The following is a 13658-nucleotide window of genomic DNA, read 5'->3' on the forward strand; positions in this document are numbered from 1 at the left end:
TTTTTTAGTAATCATGTCTTAGTAAAAAGAAAGAGATAAAAATAGTTTTAACACAGTTTAGCCCAATATTTTCAAAAATATAATTTCAACATGTAATCACATATAATACTATCAATGAGATCATTTACATTCTTGTTTTCACACTAAATTTCTAAAAATTAGAGTGTATTTGTACTCATATCTTAATTCAGACTAGTTGCATTTATGTACTCAATAGCTACATGCGTGAGTGGCTATCACATTGGATAGAATACAGCTGGGATAGGGACTTATTATTGGGATTAGATTTTACACCATTATTGGAACTGGTAGAGAAAACCATGCAAGATTTTAACTGCATGCTTATTGTTGAGCTTGATGTCTCTAAAGTCAGCCACCAGACTGGCAACTAGGAAGAAGCATTTGTGTGTGTGTGTGTGTGTGTGTGTGTGTGTGTGTGTGTGTGTGTGTAGAATGAAGAAAATGTGAAATACATGAGAACAAACTGAAACATACATATGATTTCTAGCATAGCCAGCCTAGAAGCCATAACTTGCAGGAGAGGTCAGTATCCTTTGCCATGGATGAGGCATTCATCCATGTGGTTGAGATGTTAACTCTTTATAGTTAACATTATCTTATTGGGGTAAATATATAACTCTTAAAAATTTCAATATTTTATCTGAGTCGTTTCTCCCTTTACACAGGATTTTGTTTCCAGTTCTTCTGTCCAAGAGATTGTGTAAATTTACTGGGGAGATTTTTATCGCTCTTAACCATTCACGTGGTTGAGACCTCAGAACTGCCAAAGGAAGAGAACTGGTGTAAGGTAAGGAAGATACCACCCCACATTTACAAGGTAAGTTAACAGATCAGTGACAGCACGTGCCAGATGCCAGCATTTGAAGCCTGCATCAAACTTTAGAGCATAAAAATATGGCATATTCCTTTACTCCTACCTTTCAAATCTCACGCAAAATGTTGTCTGTGGCCAATGCAAACCTGAAACCATACAGGGAATGAATTCTGAAAAATGTAGTTTAATTTTAATTAAATTGAGAGAATATAAATGCACCATAGGCAAGCAGGGAAGCTTACTCAAGTATTTCTAGGTCCTGTCAAAACTGGAATAATTCGTTAGAAATAATTATTATTTTCAAATAACATTATTATTTCCAAGAATAATCATTTTTTTTTGGAAATCAGTATTATAACACAGAGGTTTGAAACGGATGTTCTAGTAAAACCTCTTGTAGTGCATAATCAGCTTTGACAATGAGAAATTAATGCCTAACAAGCGTGTATTTGTAAACTCCTCCCTTCCACTTTTCATCTTCTCCTGTTTCTTTAACTCAAAACTAAAGACACAAACATAAAATCATTTAACTGCAGAGATACTGAAGATTACAGAGAATCACCTGCAGAGCCTGGGCAGGATTGATGAGTGCTGATCTCATTGCACGTTAAAGTTCTAATGTTACTTGTTAAAGTAAAAGTATCATAGGCTTTTAGAACTAGAAATCCCTTTTCAAATTATCAGGTTGAACCTCTAGATATGGAACTGGGACCCAGAAGCATGAATTGAGTGACCCCCAAACTCTGTGATTATGCAGCAATTCAGCAAAACTAGGCCTCTGGTGTTCAACTAACACACAATATAACTGAAATAAGGTAAGAAAAGCAGACAAGATTACCAACTCAAACAAGGATTGCTTTGCTGGTTAAGCCTAAGCCACCACGGATATATAATACCAATTTGTAATTACTACCTAAAATACTATTAATAACATACCTGGAAATGGGCAAACGATGTATTAAGTGACTGTAGGCCTATGGCACATCCTACCAAGGAAAATACAGATGTTCAAGAGGTATAATTTTATTTGTGACAGAATTATATAGAATATAGCATGAACAACAGGATGAGTGCATGCATAATAGCATGAATGAATGGATAACCTTCTCTCCACTTTACTTTATTCTCATTTTTCTTTTTTTCCTTCAGCTTTCCCATTGAGATAGATCATTACACAAAGATCTTCAATCACCCAGCTTTGGGCTGAATCAGGAGGGAAAGGTATAACCACTGAAGCACTTGAGGTAGAAGCAAAGAGCAGGAGAAGGCATGTGCCTTGATTCCAGTTTGTTTTTCTGCTGCTGTCAGTTGGCTGCATAGAGCAGATGTGGTGCTGTGATATGTTTTGGCAAAGGCAGGGACGGAGAAAGTGATTGTCATTCTCCCTCAGCTCGCAGGCAATAGAGAATGGATATTACTGTGGAGCAACTTTACCCCTGAGATTACCACTGTGAGGGAAAATCGCCTTGTAATGAGCATTGGATGGAAAACTGGTAGTCAAATGGAAGTTGCAGCCAAGCCTGAGAGAGTCTGAAACACTGTTAAAAAAAAAAAAAAGTGAAGTGAGTAGTACTATCTGTATCAATGGGGAGATATCCTAGATCTTCCAAAACAATTGACAGCCTAGGCTGAGAGAACAGGATACGAGTTACAATAGTCTTTGGCTTGTCTTCAGTGGAAGCAACAAGGGCAGAAATCAATGCCAGCTCCTAAAGAAAACAGCGATAACAATCTCCCCAGTAAATTTACACAATCTCTTGGACAGAAGAACTGGAAGCAAAATCCTGTGTAAAGGGAGAAACAACTCAGATAAAATATTGAAATTTTTAAGAGTTATATATTTACCCCAATAAGATAATGTTAACTATAAAGAGGCTGTCTTAAACTGGGAGGGTCTGTTCTTTCAACTGGACAGGTTACCTAATTTCTCAGTGCTTCAGTTTCCTGTAGGTAAAATTAAGATCATTGTATCCATATTTAAGGGAGTTTGACAATAAGATTAGGTTGGTTCCTTATGGAAAATAAAGTTCCTTTTTTTCTTTCACCATATGGGAACTAAAGTGAATAAATTCTTCACTGTGTGTTTTGAGTATGATGAGAGAGTATGATTAATATGATCAAATCTGCATGATGAGTATGAACATGCACAGTTTTTTGTTTGATCCCCCTACAGGCTATGGATTAGCAAGGCTGAGTAGAGAGGGCGGATCAAGAGGAGTATACAAAGGCAAACAAGGCTGAGAAGGCCAAATTCAAAAGTAACGGGAAGTAGGCAAAGGCAGATGGTGAAAGGAATAGGCCAGTTGTTGAGCACATACATATTAGAATATAGGACTGAGTGCATATTCTATTCACATTGTAAATTAAATATTAATTTATTATAAAAAGAATAGCTACTCACTGAAATATTTCAAATGTACAGAACACAAATAAGGCAAACTCACCCTACAATATAAATCATCTCGTCCCTCTTGTCCCATGGTTTATATGATTGACTATTCTCATAAAAAGCATTGCAGAAGAAGCATTTGTGCCCTTTCATATATATATATATAAAGATTTTATAGGCCAGGTGCAGTGGCTCATGCCTGTAATCCCAGCACTTTGGGAGGCTGAGGTAGGCAGATCGCCTGAGGTCAGGAGTTTGAGACCAGCCTGGCCAACATGGTGAAACCCTGTCTTTACTAAAAATACAAAAATTAGCTGGATGTGGTGGTGGGCGCCTGTAATCCCAGCTACCTGGGAGGCTGAAGCAGGAGAATCGTTTGAACCTGGGAGGTGGAGGTTGCAGTGAGTGGAGATTGTGCCACTGTACTGCAGCATGGGGGACAGAGTGAGACTCTGTCTCAAAGAAAAAAAATTATAAATATTACTTTTAGTGACAAAACATAAGGATTATATAATATCTCATAATTGACTTTTCATTTTTTTCAAAGAGATTTTTTATTTGAAGAGTGATGATTTTTTGATGTGTCAACTTGGCTAGCCTACTGTCTTTAGTAATTGGATAAACACTACTTTTAATGTTTTTGTGAAGGTATCTTGTTGATGTGATTAAACTCCATAGTCAGTTGATGGGGAGAGTAGCCTGGATAATCAGGATGAGTCTGATTAGATCAGTAAAAAGGCCTCAAAAACAGGGATGAGGATTGCCTGATGAAAAGATTTTTTCCCTGTGCATAGCAGCTTTGCTTATATCCACAGTTCCAGTCAACCCTTCTGGATGGCCTACCCTAGAGATTTCAGACTTGCCTGCCTGGCTTGTCCCTAAATCACGTAAGCCAACTCCTTGCAATAAATCCCTTAGTATATATTTCCCATTGGTTCTGCTTCCCTGACTGATACATGGAGGAAGTTGTACTTTATTTATTTATTTATTTATCTTTTTTTTGAGACAGAGTCTTGCTCTGTCACTCAGGCTAGAGTGCAGTGGTGCGATCTTAGCTCACTGCAACCTCCACCTCTGGGTTCAAGCAATTCTCCTGCCTCAGCCTTCTGAGTACCTGGGATTACAGGCATGCCCAGCCAATTTTTGTACTTCTAGTAGATACAGGATTTCACCATGTTGGTCAGGCTGGTCTCGAACTCCTGACCTTGTGATCCACCCGCCTTGGCCTCCCAAAGTGCTGGGATTACAGGTGTGAGCCACCATGCCCGGCGGAAGTTTTACTTTATAGAAACAACATTGCCACTGGATGTATTTTTGAAGTAGGAAATAAATGACCAAGAGACACTCTTCTGCCTTGCAAATGTATGAAGTGGATAGAAAAAAGGGGAAAAAGCCTGGAAATGTCAGAGAAACAGAAATACTGAGGACTTGCCGCCATGCTTACCAAGGAGGATAAGAGAACATTTCTGGAGGATAAGAGAACAGCCAGGTGCAGTGGCTCACACCTATAATCCCAGCACTTGAGAGTCTGAGATGGGTGGATTACTTGAGGTCAGGAGTTCGAGACCAGCCTGGCCAACATAGCGAAACCCTGTCTCTACTAAATAATCTGTAATCTACTCAGGAGGCTGAGGCAAGAGAATCGCTTGAACTGGGAAGCAGAGGTTGCAGTGAGCCGAGATCACGCCACTGCGCTCCAGCCTGGGTGACAGAATGAGATTCTGTCTCCAAAACAAAATATAAACAAACAAAAATCCGGGAGCAGTGGCTCATGCCTATAATCCCAGCACTTTGGGAGGCCAAGGAGGGCAGATCAAGAGGTCAAGAGTTCAAGACCATCCTGGCCAACATTGTGACATCCTGACTCTACTAAAAATACAAAAATTAGCTGGGCGTGGTGGCAGGCGCCTGTAGTCCCAGCTACTTGGGAGGCTGAGGCAAAAGAATTGCTTGAACCTGGGAGGCAGAGGTTGCAGTGAGCCCAGATCGCGCCACTGTGTCCAGCCTGGCGACAGAGGGAGAACTCCATTTAAAAAAAAAAAAAAAAAGAGTGAGGAAGAAGATGGGCAAAAGAAACAAGTTCTGATTGCTGAATAGAAACAAATATTTCAGATTTAACGGGCCAGGGTAACTAAGAGCTGAGATTTTCCATATGGTCTGTAAGCCTATAATGTATTACAATCATGTTGCCTTATATCAGCTCAAAAGCTTTCCACATCCATTTGCAGCTGGACTGCTTGAATTGCCTCTCTCTTCTCACGCTAGGTACCTATTTCTGAAACAAGGCAGAACATTTTGCCCCTGAAAATGCAAATAAACTTCCCCCAGTAGAGGCCCCCACTCAGAAATGATAAATGGAGGCCTTGAAGTGTTTCCTCTAGTGAATTACATATTAGAATTACACTTTCTATTTCTGGGAACTTTGCATTCTCACCTATTGCCTTGTTCAACATTTGCCGCCTCTGGCTGCAGAAACTGATTAGGAAGCAAGGCCAATTGGATATTTGAAATGATACTTTATTGACTTTTTTTTTTTTAATAAGGGAGACAGCCAGCAGAGAAATGTGTAGCAGCACTCTATTTGCCTGTAGTTAGGGTCATATCTTGTTTTCTTTATTTCATAGTAGCAAGCTGTGAATACTCCATGCTTCCCTTTCAATTATACTCAGCTAAAATATATTGGGTGTTATTCATTTTAAAGGACTGAGGGAAAAGAAGCAACACCTGGTTGCAGGCACTTTGCTCATTGTTTGATAACCCTTAAGTATCATCAGAAAGAATTCTCCAGGATAAACATCAACATAGATGAGGACATCACGGCCACAGAGATAAAGTGTGATATCCAAGGTGGCAAAGACATTTTAACTAAGGCCTGACCTCCTGTTGTTCTACCATCTTATCACTTTAAGTAATGCATATATTCTCTAAGAGTCACATTTAAATTAAGCCCATTTTACTACATAAGCTTTTAAATAATCTGATAAAATAATTATATCCTGAAAACTCCTTTTATAGAACAAATGCCATCCTTATTGGCCTCATACATCTCCTTTTCCATTTATCTTTTCTTTTTAATTTTAAGAAAACTATAAAAGAATCTTTCCTGCCTCAGATATCCCCTCCATTAGCTGTACCTCCTAAGGTCTGGTAAGTACAAGTAAAAGGAACATTTGCTGGAGCTAAATGAAAGTAGTGGCCACATCTCTCACGTGTTTGTGTACCATCTACAGAGGAGTTTCCTACTAGTAAGGACAGTTTGATCACTCCTAGACATGGAGTACTTAAACCAAATACACTTTGTATATACATAACTCCTCTCCTCCTCCTATACTTACAACCCGAGGTAGTCATTACGATATCTAAAAGAAAAATAAATAGAAGAGGAGAATAAAAACAACAATTTTAGGAATGACTATGTGAATTGTCTCCTAACTTTATTTGATTAATTTAGCTTTTTTATAAATTTCTAGACAATGAGAACCCAATCTACTTATATTTAGCAAGTCTGCATAATCACCCAAAAATTATATATTAGAAAGCGTCTTTCTTTAAAACAGGAAGTGTTAGCTCAAACGAGATAAGATGTGAACAAATAATCATAATGGCATAATACTTAAATATATTTTATATATAAATAAGGTAAATCTAAATTTCTTATCCATCTATGCGCATGTTTAGATCAATATATACTTGACTTCTTTTTATAGCTTTGGTATACAAATTGTTTAATGTAAGAAAGAATTGAAAGTACTATTTTTCCTTTTGATGTTTTTGAAATCTAGTTTCAATTTCAAATATTTAATTTCTGTTGTGTGATGAAAAATAGGTCCCCCAAAGAAAAATTTTTTTTGTTTTTTTTTTCAAAAGTACATTTCACTTAACCATGTAATGCTAAGCTCTTGATTGCTTTTTTTTTTTTTTTTTTGTCTTTGTTCTTTATCTGACTGTGAGCTGGTGAAAAGAGAACAGTCAGGGAATAAAGACTTCTTTGATACCAGCAGGACTCCTAAGGGTTCTTTTGTTTGCTAATGGCTGGGATTTTCTCATTTACATCCTTTCAGGGAAGAAACCATGTAGCTGCCATATCATATCTGTGTCTGGATAACCTTTTGCACTAGACTGCTCTGTATGGATGGATTAACGCATGATGGCTATTGACTCAGACTTCTACAGCATTCCTCTGAGCAGAAGGCAGAAACCAACCTTTTGCATTTCTGGTGATAACATCAGCAACCAGGCCAATTTCAAGAATCATTAGATTTTCATTATGATAAGAAATATAAACATCATTCTTTCCTGAAGTTAAATTTTGAATTACTAATAGTTCAGAAGTACAGCTGAAGGTTTACCACAACTCAGAAAACTTTCTAACTAAAGAGGAAAATATAATTGTTAAAGTTTAAAGCCCTTTAAGAAGTTTAAGTTCTTTGATGAAGTGTAACTTGCACATAATAAACAATTGGTATGTCACATTATTATTCTTCTTTCATGAAAGCAAGTTCTAATGAACTTTAAGGTACAGGAATATTTTAGTCTAATTTTACAATGGATTTGTGTTTGAATGTGGTAATGCATAATTTCATTAAATATTTTAAATTCTGATTATTTTCATTTAGCCCATTACTTCAGTTTCTAAAGAAAAAAAATGAAATATCTTGTAACAGAAATGTAGTGAATTTGAATCTCTAGTCTCAAATCTCACACATTGGAAGGCCCCAATCTGCTGTACACTTCACAGTGCTATATGAAAAACTTCTTGAATGAAATATGGAAACTCAATTTTTAGACTTGTTATAGAGAGTCAGAATATAGCTACACTAACAAATGGATAGTACTGAGTTTTACAAAATGGAATTTATTCAGGAACATACTATTGGATACTAAGCTTGTCACTGCTCTACAAAAAAAAAAAAAAAAAAAAAAATATAAGAAGAAGACAGAGTGTATTGACCCTGCTTACTGATATCTTTGCCATTGTTAAGCCCTGGAAGGCCTTAATGCCAGGTATGCAACATTGTGTAGTATCTAAGAGTACTACCTCTTCAGTCAGAATCATGAGGTTTTAATCACAAATTTCTAACTTTCTATGTGACCTCAGGAAGGTTATAAACCTTTTCTAAGCCTCAGTGACTACACCAGTGAAATAATACTATAAATCTCATGGAAGGAGCTGCTGTGAAGATACAATGAGGAAATAAATTTAAATCCTTAGCACAATACCTGGCACACAGTAATTGCTTAAAATGGTTAGCTTGTATTATTAACACTGCTAACCAAGTGATAAAAATTACATCAGTTGCAGATAAAGCCAATTTCTTGTTTCAGATATATCTAAATCCATTTTAAGACAGACTAAACTTGGTTATAATAACATATTATTATATTAATGATACTTATTATGTAGCAATAGATAACTGAACCAGAAAATTTTTATCAAAAGTGAGGCTCCAATATAATAAAAATTTTAAAACATGTAGCACTGGCTTTAGTACTGGGTAATGGGAAAAGGTTAGAAAAATGGCAAAGAGGCTGTGGGTGAAGGTTGAAAGAATGTCAAACAAAATGTTAGTGGAGGCTCGAAAGGAAGCAAATAAATTATTATTGGAGGCTGAAAAAAATGGTGACCTGTGTTTTTTGATAGCAAAATAGTTGGAAAATTTATCTCCTAGGTTACTTGGAAAACATAAAATATACTTAATGAACTTATGAATCTAAGGATGTGTCTAGGATAGATATTATAAATGTGCTTCTTTTTGCTGTATGTAACAAGGTACAGGAAGAGAAAGATGAAGAAAGGTAGAAATTTTCAGTTTATAAGTAGTATTAATAAAAAAAATAGAAGGCACAGAACTCTTTTGGTTTGGAAAAATAAAAAATAAAAACCTTAATATTCTCTAGTGTCTCCAGCTAGCCAAAGATTCTCAAAGTAAGAAATGGCCTCACAATAAGAATTAAATCTAGTGTAGTTGTATGATCCTCTGCTAATATTAGGTTGGTGCAAAAGTAATTGTGGCTTTTGACATTAAAAGTATTGGCAAAAACCACAGTAACTTTTGCACCAACATAATACTTTAGAAAGATTTATGGAGGTACCTAGCAGATCCCATCAGCTACACAAAAAGGTTTCTAAGAATCGTACATGTGTTGTCCCTCTAACCCTCTACCAAATTCGACAGAATAATCTATTTTTAAAAAATCATAGATCTGACATTTGGGGCATGATATAAACACAAATTACACACTCTCAATGTTTTTAAGGTAGTAACATAACGAACAAAAAGCCAGAGGTAGTTCAAAATGAAAAAATATCTCTATGCATGCAATTTTCTATGACAATGAAGCAGCCTGAGAAGGTCAAGTAGATACTCTGCTCAAACACTGGTCATTTCTTAAAGAAAAGAAATGGTATCTCTCAGCGTAGAGCCATGAGTGAAGTCAACAACAACGAAGATGCTGAGAATTCCATGTCCAAGGAACAGAAGCAGACTAACCAAGGATCATTTTCTGTCCATGGATTGGGGAGTACTGAGAAAATATACCAAACTATTTTCAGAATTGTTATGGACTGGTGATTGACTTCGAAGTTTCGAATTTTTGAATGGGAGCTTCTATTACTGTTATCCTGTATGTGTCTCACCATTATATGCTTGGAGCATGAAGGTATATAACTCAGTTTTTCAGTTTGTGGGTCCCTGGAACAATAAGAAGCCACTAAAGGAACTGCAGGCAAGAAACTTCTCTGTATCTATCTATCTATGTATCTATCTATCTATCTATCTAGCCTTATCTATCTATTGCCTTATCTATATGTATAGCCATATATATGTATATAATCAGTGATATATATATATCAGTGATGTATATATCAGTGAGAACTATACAGATAACAAGACCACGAACTTGAAGACGAATGCTAGGAACTTGTAAGATGTTGGGGGTGCAGAGAGAGTATGACCATATTTTACAGACAGAGGAGGGACATGCATCAGTGGAGTCACAGAACACACCAGGATTAAGTGTTACATTAATGGGCTGCAATGACTCACTTCTGTCATCTACACATTAAGACATCAAGATAATGCTTTTTCAAATTGACTCTGGACTTGCCCATGTGACATATTTTGGTCAAAGGGACACCAATACACATGATGCAAGCAAAAACGTGATAAGTGATTATACATCTAGGCTTGTCAGTTGGCATTTTGTGAAGAAAAGGTCACACTATTTGTACTATATGTGAAAGACCACATAGAGAAAGATCTCCAGTTATCCCAACCAGGTCCCATCTTTAACCAGACTGCCAGCTGAATGCAACTGCATGAGTTTACCTTGGGGAGGTTAGCAAAAGAAAGTTTCAATCCATAACATCAAGAAAAACATATGCTTTTGGAGCCTCTAAATTTTGAAAGTGGTTATTTAGCAATAGATAATGCAATTACTAATGCCATAAATTTTTAATATGTATTCAAGGTGCACAACATGATGATTTCATATACACATACATTGTTTAATGATTGCCACACCCAAATTAATTATGGTATCTATCACCACTCATGCTGTATCTTAGCTCCCTAGAATTTGTTCACCTTATAACTGAAAGTATGTGCCCTTTGATCAACATATCCCCTTTTCCTCCACCTCCAAGACCACCTGTATGAGTCCATTTCATGCTGCTGATAAAGACATACCCGAGACTGGGAAGAAAAAGAGGTTTAATTGGACTTAAAGTTCCACATGGCTGGGGAGGCCTCAGAATCATGGCCAGAGGTGAAAGTACTTCTTACATGGTGGCGGCAAGAGAAAATGAGGAAGATGCAAAAGAGAAAACCCCTGATAAAACCATCAGATCTCTTGAGTCTTATTCACTACCATGGGAACAGTATGAGGAAAACCTCCTCCATGATTCAAATTATCTCCCACCAGGTCCCTCCTACAACATGTGGGAATTATGGGAGTATAAATCAAAATGAGATTTGGATGGGGACACAGAGCCAAACCATATCATTCTTCCCCCTGCCCCTCCAAATCCCATGTCCTTGAATTTCAAAACCAATAATGCCTTCCCATCAGTCCCCCAAAGTCTTAACTCATTTCAGCATTAACCCAAAAGTCCACAGTTGAAAGTTTCATCTGAGACAAGGCAAGTCCCTTCCACCTATGAGCCTGTAAAATCGAAAGCAAGCTAATTACTTCCTAGATACAATGGAGGTACAGATATTAGGTAAATATAGCCATTCCAAATGGGAGAAATTGTCCAAAACAAAGGGGCTACAGGCACCATGCAAGTTTGAAATCCAGCAGGGCAATCAAATATTAAAGGTCCAAAATGATCTCCTTTGACTGCAGGTTTCATATCCAGGTCATGCTGATGTAAGAAATGGGTTCCCATGGTCTTGGGCAGCTCTGCCCCTGTGGCTTTGCAGGGTACAGTCTCCCTCCTGGCTGCTTTTATGGGCTGGCATTGAGTGTCTGTGGCTTTTCAAGGCTCGCGTTGTAAGCTGTAGTTGGATCTACGATTCTGGGGTCTGGAGGATGGTGGCTCTCTTCTCACAGCTCCACTAGGCAGTCCCCAGTAGGGACTCTGTGTGAGGGCTCCAACCCCACATTTCCCTTCTGCACTGCCCTAGCAAAGGTTCTGCATGAGAGCCCTGCTCCTGCAGCAAACTTCTGCCTGGACATCCAGGCATTTCCATACATCTTCTGAAATCTAGGCAGAGGTTCCCTAACCCCAATTCTTGACTTCTGTGTACCTGCAGGCTCAACACCATGTGGAAGCTGCCAGGGCTTGGGGTTTGCACCCTTTGAAGCCACAGCCCAAGCTCTATGTTGGCCCCTTTCAGCCAAGGCTGGAGTGGCTGAGATGCAGGGCACCATGTCCCTAGACTGCACACAGCACAGGGACCCTGGCCCTGACCATGAAACCATTTTTTCCTCCTAGATCTCTGGGTCTGTGATGGGAGAGGCTGCCGCAAAGGTCTCTTGATACCCTGGAGACATTTTTCCCATTGCCTTGGGGATTAACTAACATTCAGCACTGTGTCACTTATGTAAATACCTGCAGCTGGCTTGAATATTTCCTCAGAAAATGGAATTTTCTTTTCTACCACATTGTCAGGCTGCAAATTTTCTCAACTTTTATGCTCTGCTTCCCTTTTAATACTGAATGTTTTTAACAGCACCCAAGTAACCTCTTGAATGCTTTGCTGCTTAGAAATTTCTTCTGCCAGGTACCCTGAATCATCTCTCTCAAAGTTCCACAAATCTCTTGGTCAGGGGCACAATGCTGCCAGTTTCTTTGATAAAACATAACAAGAGTCACCTTTGCTTCATGTCCCAACAAGTTTCTCATCTCCATTTGAGGCCACCTCAACCAGCATTTTGGTCAAAGCCACTCAACAAGGCTCTAGGGAGTTGCAAACTTTCCCACATCTTCCTGTCTTCTTTTGGGCCCTCCAAACTGTTCCAACCTCTGCCTGTTATCCAGTTCCAAAGTCACTTCCACATTTTCAGGTATCTTTTCAGCAATGCCCCACTCTAGTGGTACCAATTTACTGTATTAGTCTGTTCTCATGCTGCTGATAAAGACGTACCCAAGACTGGGAAGGAAAAAAAAAGATTAATTGGACTTACAGTTCCACATGGCTGGGGAGGCCTCAGTATCATGATCGGGCGCAAAAGTGCTTTTTACATGGCAGTGGCAAGAGAAAATGAGGGAAAAGCAAAAAGGGAGACCCCTGATAAAACCATCAGATCTCATGAGACTTACTCATTACCACAAGAACAGTATTGGGGAAACCACTCCTGTGATTCAAATTATCCCACTGGTCCCTCCCACAACACATGGTAATTACGGGAATACAATTCCAAATGAGATTTGGGTGGGGGCACAGAGCCAAACCATATCACCATGGTAACCACTGTTCTACTCTTTGTTTCTATAAGTTTGACTTTTTAGATTCCACATGTAAGTGAGATTATACAGTATTTGTCCTTCTGTGTCTGGCTTATTTCCTTTAGCATAATATCCTCCAAATTCATCAATGTTGTCACAATTGGCAGAATTTCATTCTGTATTATGGCTGAATAATATTCCAGCATCCTACCTCACACATGCATGTCATTGGTTGCAAAGGGTCTAGAATTAAAAAAAAAAAAAAGGAAAATTCAAGTTCTAAAGAAAAAAACAACAGAGAGGAAAAGGGAAAAATCACATTTTTTTTTGTTACTAATGAATTGGAAAACCACAAGTAAGCCTTATAATCTCTTCTCTTTTTGTTTTTATAGTATTTTTTCCTTAGGGATAATAAAACTTATTTTACTCACTTAACACTTTTCCAGTTTCAGAATGGAACAAAATTACATGTATGAACCACTCTGAAAATATAAAACACTTTCAAATTTAATATGCTTGTAAAAGTATATAGTAGGAATTCT

The 13658-nt window shown here is 37.9% G+C and overlaps 1 protein-coding gene across 4 annotated transcripts in view, besides 1 other annotated feature; it reads right to left on the reverse strand.

Annotated features, from left to right (window-relative positions):
- Positions 1-13658, reverse strand: part of LRRTM4 (leucine rich repeat transmembrane neuronal 4) — a 774692-nt gene that overhangs the window by 263444 nt on the left and 497590 nt on the right. The window lies entirely within an intron of this gene.
- Positions 6949-7606: an enhancer, noted in NCBI's record as "OCT4-NANOG hESC enhancer chr2:77245203-77245860 (GRCh37/hg19 assembly coordinates)". NCBI's record gives its function as "activates a minimal SCP1, AML or CMV promoter by ChIP-STARR-seq in naive H9 embryonic stem cells {active_cell/tissue: H9 hESC(naive)}" and the evidence as "EXISTENCE:reporter gene assay evidence [ECO:0000049][PMID:30033119]".

The sequence above is a fragment of the Homo sapiens genome, chromosome 2 (genome assembly GCF_000001405.40).
Source record: "Homo sapiens chromosome 2, GRCh38.p14 Primary Assembly".
NCBI classification, from domain to species: Eukaryota; Metazoa; Chordata; class Mammalia; order Primates; family Hominidae; genus Homo; species Homo sapiens.